The sequence below is a fragment of the Homo sapiens genome, chromosome 16, assembly GCF_000001405.40.
Source record: "Homo sapiens chromosome 16, GRCh38.p14 Primary Assembly".
NCBI lineage: Eukaryota > Metazoa > Chordata > Mammalia > Primates > Hominidae > Homo > Homo sapiens.
Genome location: NC_000016.10, coordinates 13,864,772 through 13,871,803, shown reverse-complemented (window position 1 = coordinate 13,871,803; position 7,032 = coordinate 13,864,772). Strand labels below are relative to the sequence as shown.

At 38.9% G+C, this 7,032-nt stretch overlaps 1 annotated feature.

The window, feature by feature from the left end:
• Nucleotides 5,418–5,712: an enhancer, noted in NCBI's record as "tiled region #11413; K562 Activating DNase unmatched - State 12:CtcfO". NCBI's record gives its function as "activates a minimal TATA promoter and a strong SV40 promoter by Sharpr-MPRA in K562 cells {active_cell/tissue: K562}" and the evidence as "EXISTENCE:reporter gene assay evidence [ECO:0000049][PMID:27701403]".

Genomic DNA, 7,032 nt, shown 5'->3' with positions numbered 1-7,032 from the left:
TTTAGAGAAGTTATAGACTCCCAGCAAAATTGAGCAGAATGCGCAGAGATGTCTAAATACTTCCCACCACCATACACAGTTTTCCCCATTATCAACATCCCCCAGAGTGGAAAGACCAGAGTGGTTCATTTGTTTTTGTGTGTGTGTGTGTGTGTTTTTTTTTTGTTTTTTGTTTTTTTTTGAGACGGAGTCTCACTCTGTCGCCCAGGCTGGAGTGCAGTGGCGTGATCTTGGTTCACTGCAAGCTCCGCCTCCCGGGTTCACGCCATTCTCCTGCCTCAGCCTCCCGAGTAGCTGGGACTACAGGTGCCCGCGACCACGCCCGGCTAATTTTTTTTGGATTTTTAGTAGAGACGGGGTTTCACCGTGTTAGCCTGGATGGTCTCGATCTCCTGAGCTCTTGATCCACCCGCCTCAGCCTCCCAAAGTGCTGGGATTACAGGCGTGAGCCACTGTGCCCGGCCCAGAGTGGTTCATTTGTTATAGCTGATGAACCTACATTGACTCATCATTATCACCCAAAGTTCGTAGTTTACATTAAAGTTCACTCTTGATGTTGTACATTCTATGGGCTTGGACAAATGCATACAAATGCGTGCCCACCATTAGAGTATCATACAGAGTAGATTCACTGCCCTAAATGTTCTCTGTGCTTCATCCCTCCCTCCCCCTGGTACCTGACAACCACTGATCATTTTATTGTCTCCTTAGTTTGCCTTTCCCAGAATGTCATATAGTTAGAATCACATAATATGTGGCCTTTTTGTATTGGTTTCTTTCACTTCTTTAACTTAAATATGCATGTACATTTCCTCCATTTTTTAATGGTTTGATAGCTCATTTCTTTTTAGGACTGAGTGATATTCCATCAACTGGATGTACCACAGTTTATTTATTCATTCACCTATTAAAGAACATGATTGACAAGTTTTAGCAATTATGAATAAAGCTGCTATAAGCATCTGTGTGCAGATTTTTGTGTGGATACAAATTTTTAACTCATTTGGGTAAATACCAAGGAGTGAGATTACTGGGTCATATGGTAAGAGTATGTTTAGTTTTGGAGGAAATTTGCCAAACTCTCTTCCAAACTGTCTGTACCATTTTGCATTCCCACCAGGAATGAATGAGAGTTCCTGCTGCTCAACATTCTTGCCAGCATTTGGTATCGTCAGTGTTCCAGATTTGGGACCATTCTAATAGGTATGTGGTAGTAGTAGTACTTTATTGTTGCTTTAATTTTCCTAATGACATATGATCTGCAGCATCTTTCTTTTTTTTTTTTTTTCTTGGAGATGGAATCTCGCTCTGTTGCCCAGGCTGGAGTGCAGTGGTGCAATCTCTGCTCACTGCACCCTCTGCCTCCCGGTTCAAGCATTTCTTCTGCCTCAGTCTCCTGAATAGCTGGGACTACAGGCGTGTGCCACCAGACCTGGCCAATTTTTTTGTATTTTTTTTTTTTTTAGTAGAGACGGGGTTTCGCCAAGTTAGTCAGGATGGTCTCAATCTCTTGACCTCATGATCCACCTGTCTCTGCCTCCCAGAGTGCTGGGATTACAGGCGTGAGCCACTGCGCCTGGCCAGCATCTTTCATATGCTTGTTTTCCATATGGATATCTTTTTTTTTTTTTTTTTTTTTAACAGCGTCTCACTCTGTCACTCAGGCTGGGCTGTAGTGGCGTGATCTCGGCTCACTGCAACCTCTGCCTCCTGGGTTCAAGCAATTCTCCTGCCTCAGCCTCCTGAGTAGCTGGGATTATAGGCACGTACCACCACACCCAGCTAATTTTTGTATTTTTAGTAGAGATGGGGTTTCACCATGTTAGCCAGGCTGGTCTCAAACTCCAGACCTCATGATCCGCCCACCTCGGCCTCCCAAAGTGTTGGGATTACAGGTGTAAGCCACCGTGCCCGGCCCATATGCATGTCTTTTTGATGAGGTGTCTGTTAAGGTCTTTGATACATTTTTTTTTTTGTATTAGGTTGTTTTATTTCTTATTGTTGAGTTTTCAGTTATTTTTGTATGTTTTGAATAATAATCCTTTGTCAGACACGTCTTTTGCAAGTATTTTTTTCTCAGTTGGTGGCTTGGCTTTTCATTCTATTGATAGTGTCTTTTACAAAGAAGGAATTTTTAATATTAGTGAAGTCCAACTTATCAATTGGTTCTTTCATGAATTGTGCCTTTGGTGTTGTGTCTAAAAAGTCATTGACAAACCCAATGTCATCTAGAATTTCTCTTATGTTATTTTCTAGTACTCTTACAGTTTTGAATTTTACATTTCGATCTACGATCAATTTTGAGTTTTTTTTTAGGGGTATAAGATCTGGGTCTAAATTTTGTTTGTACATGGATGTCAGGTTGTTTCAGCACCATTTGTCAAAAACCATATCTTTTCTTCATTATGTTGACTTTACTCCTTTGTCAAAGATCAGTTTATATATGTGAGCCTATTTCTGTACTCTCCGTACTGTTCCACTGATGTATTTGTCTGTTCTTTTACCAGTACTACACTATTTTGATTACTGTAGCTTTACAGTATTAGCTATTCTGTTTTTTCTTTTTCTTTTTTTTTTCTTTTTGCCTCTCTATATAAACCTTAGAGTCAGTTTGTCAATATTCACAAAATTACTTTCTGGGATTTTGATTGAGATTGTATTGAGTCTATAGATCAAGCAAGGAAGAACTGACATTTTGACAATATTGAGTCTTTCTATCCATGAACATGGAATATCTTTCCATTTATTTAGTTCTTGTATTGCTTTCATTAGTTTTGTAGTTTTCTTTATATAGATCTTATACATATTTTGTTATATTTATATCTAAGTATTTAATTTTTGGAGGGGGTGCTAATGGAAATGGTATTGTGTTTTTAGTTTCAAATTCCATTTGTTAATTGCTGGTATATAGGAAATCAATGGACTTTTCTATATTAACCTTGTGCTCTGCAACTTTGCTATAATTGCTTATTAGTTCCAGTAATGTTTTTGTTGGTTCTTCCCAATCGATCTAAAGGAAAAACCTCTCTACCCATCACCAAATTGGAGGAGAATGTTGCTGCCTTCTGGGAGATATATACAGAGAAGTTTATAGCTAACAGCTTTCTTACAGCTACAAGGAAACTGGTTTTAAGATAATACTAATGCTTTGGCTGGCAGAGTAGCAAGATGGAAAGAACCTAGGTCCTTAACAATATCATCGAGTGGCTGAAAAAAACCAGCTCTGAATCCCGCCCAATCTCGGAAATCCCTAGACTTCCTGTTAAATGAGATATATTAAATTGTCTTTATTGTTCAAACTAGATAAAATTGATATTTTGGTTATTTGTAGTAATAGTTTTCCTTTTTAAAACAGACTTTAAAAGGAAACTGAAGTTTAGAGAAGTTAGCACCAACAGCAGCATCAACAACAACGATATTAAATGACAAAGCCAAGACTCCAACCCTTGATAGTCTGCAGGCTACACTCCATGCCCAAACCCAGTCCCACAGTGTTGCCTCCTCGTGAATACAATATAGAAAGTGTTTGGGAGTTTCTCAGGGGTTTGAGGAAGGGGGAGAGAAATAACTGACAAGTAGGGAAGATGTGGAAAATATTAAATAAACCCCATTATTCCCATAGAACTTGGAACAATAGACATGCCAGCAAAGAGAAAAAATGCTTGGTTCAAACTCTAGTAGAGAGATACAGTTATACTACAAACTTTGATAAACTTCATGGGACTTGAATTTTGATGTAAACTACAATTGATGCTTTTGTGTATTTTTGGAGGGACTACCCTACCCTTTTTAATCTTCCTTCCCTTCGTTTCTTGTTCTGTGATTAGGAGATGGGAAGAGATCATTTTCCTACTTAAAACCAAAAGAAAAAGCCCACATCCCTTTAGTCCAGAATAAAGGATAGGTTGACAAGTCATCACTACTTGATTTTACTTTTGTTGCTATCTCCTGGAGTGTGACTTATTGGACCTTTGCCTAAAGTTGGATTTGCTTGTCACTTAGATGTTGCAAAGTAGCTTCACGAAAGCTCTCTTAGCAAACTTGCTGATTGATGGAATGGATGATGCAGTTGAAACTGAAATCTGCTGAGAGACAAAGTAGAGAAAAATTTTGATTGTTAGAAAAATCAAGAAAGTAACTTCACTAGAAAAAGCAGAAGTTGTTTTCAAATAGTAGGCTCCACTGCATGCTATAGGACCTTACATTTTTATTTTGAAAAGGTTTAAGAATACAGAAAGCTTGAATAGGCATTTCTCCAAGGAAGATACATAAATGGCCAATAAGTAGATGAAAAGGTGTTCAATATCATCATTAAGGACATGCAACCCAAAACCACAGTGAAATATCCCTTCATACCTACTAGGATGGCTATAACAACAACAACAACAAAGAGAAGATAGTGTTAGCGAGGATGGGGAGAAATTGGAACCCTTATGAAGCGCTGGTTGGAATGTAGGACGGTTTAGATGCTATGGAAAGGAGTATAGTGGTTCCTCAAAAAATGAAACATAGAGTTACCATATGACCTAGCAATTCTGTTCCTAGGTATACAACAAAAAATTGGAAACACGGACTCCAATAGTTACTTCCATGGCAATGTTTATTGTAGCATTATTCACAATAGCCAAAAGGTGAAAACAACCCAAGAGTTCATCAACAGATGAATAAATAAACAAAATGTGGTACACACACACACACACACACACACACACACACACACGCTGGGGTATTATTCAGCCATAAAAAGAAAGAAAGTTCTGATACATGTTACAACATGGATTGACTTTGAAAGCATTATGCTAAGTGATATAGGCCAACAAAAAGGACAAATATTGTGTGATTCTACTTGTATGAAATATCTAGAATAGGGAAATTTATAGAGACAGAAGGTAGATTAGAAGTTACCAAAGGCCAAGGGAGAGGAGCATAAGGAGTTATTGCTTATTGCTCTCTCTTTAGGGTGGTGAAATTTTGGAAATAGACAGTGGTGATGGTTTTACAACACTGTGAATGTAATTAGTAAAATTTAAACAAAAAATACAAAAAGGAACAGAGAATAATATAGCAGTCACCCATGCAACCACTGGGTAGAATTGACAAATATTAACAATTTTATTTTATTTACTTCAGATGTTTCTTAAAAATAAAGCAAAACAGTGGCGGTGGTTTTACAACATTGTGAATGTAATTTGTAAAATTTAAAGACAAAATGCAAAAAGGAACAGAGAATAATATAGCAGCCACCCATGCAACCACTGGGTAGAATTGACAAATATTAACATTTTATTTTATTTACTTCAGATGTTTCTTAAAAATAAAGCAAAACATTGCTGATACAGTTTTTCCCATGTAGCAGATATGATTAGTATCCCATGCCACATCCCTTGGCCAATCTCTTTAGGCCTCTTGCAGCTATGGTGGATGGTTTCCAGGCACGCTGACTGCTTACGCCCTGGAGCACACGTTTCTCTGCCCCAGGGTTCCCTCTAGTGGCGAGAGAGCTTGCTTAGCCCGTCCACAGGGCAATCCCAAAGGACTGGAGGCGCAATGCCCCAAGGTCAATCCTCGATCAATGAGAGAAGGGAGTTGGAAAATAATTATCCCAGCTGCCTTGTCCCTTAGTGGATTGATTCTGAGGCATGGCTATTCAGGAGGTTCCTGCTGAGATTGAGTCCCAATTGCCCTAGATTAATACACACTTTATTGACTTACTCCCCTTCCCGTCTCTCTTTCCCTGCATCCTTACTATCTTCCTGCAATTGCCACCCCAATAAACTACTTGCATCAGACTCCTTGTTTCAGGCTCTGTTTTCAGAAGAGCCCAAAGTAGGACAGCCGCTTCCACTCTGTTCCTTTCTTCATTCATAAGAAGCAATCACTTTCATGAAGATGGTGTAAATGCTCCTGACCTATGTTTTTAAACTTGTGGCTAATACATCAACAATATACAGTTTAATGGATTTTAATAATTTTGTGAATGGTATCATTTTGTATGTGTATGCGTGTGTGTGTGTGTGTGTGTGTGTGATTCTACAACTTGTTTTTCTCACTCAATGTTTTTGAGATTGCTCCATGTGATAAGAGAGACCTGGTTCATTATTTGTAAGCACTGTGTGTAATTCTCACTATTGTATGACTGAACCACATTTTGTTTAACCACTCACCCCCATGATGAGCATTCATGCTTTTCCCCTGTGTTTTGCTATTAGAAAACATGTTCCAATGAACACTCTAACACCTTTGTTTTGTTTTTTTTTTTTTGAGACAGAGTCTCACTCTGTCGCCTAGGCTGGAGTGCAGGACTTCTTTGCAGAGTGTTTAAATAAAATGTTTGTTTAAACAGCAGCTAGGCTGGGCCCTTGTGGATTTATTTACTGGTCATTAGCTGCTAGAAGGAGAAGATGGGGAACAATAAGCTGAGAAGCTTCAATTAAAAGCTAGAAATTCCTGCCATTGAATATGAAGAAATGGATATGAGTAAAGTTGTAAATATCCAAGGGAAATTAATAATAATAATAAAAAGGACCCCTTTAAACCCAAACTCTATTTACAAGCAACCGTCTTCAAAGCTTGGCAGACACTGTTTCCTCTTCACGGACTACTCTTTGCAGCCATATCTCTGCCTGCCTAATTTCATTTAAGCTTCTACCCTTTCAGTTCTCCTTTTCAGGAAGCATTCTCTGACCTCTTGTATCAGGATAATTACACCAGTTGCATGACGGGCCAAACCTGAAATCCCAAAAGTTAAACACAATAAAGCTTATTTCTCACTCACATAAAGTGCCATGTAGGTTGAGCAGCCCTATACCGCCATGCTGCTGTTGGGGCATCTGAAACACGTGGACTTCAAGCTCTCTGAAGAGAGAAGAGGGGAGAGAGGAAGAGGAAGCAGAACAGCTCCTAATGACTTTGACCAGGAAGTGACATGTGTTACTTCTGCTCACGGTCTCTTGGTCAGAATTAGTCACATGACTCCATTGTAACTGCAGAGAAAGGTGGAAAATATAGGGGGCAATATAGAATATTTGGTGA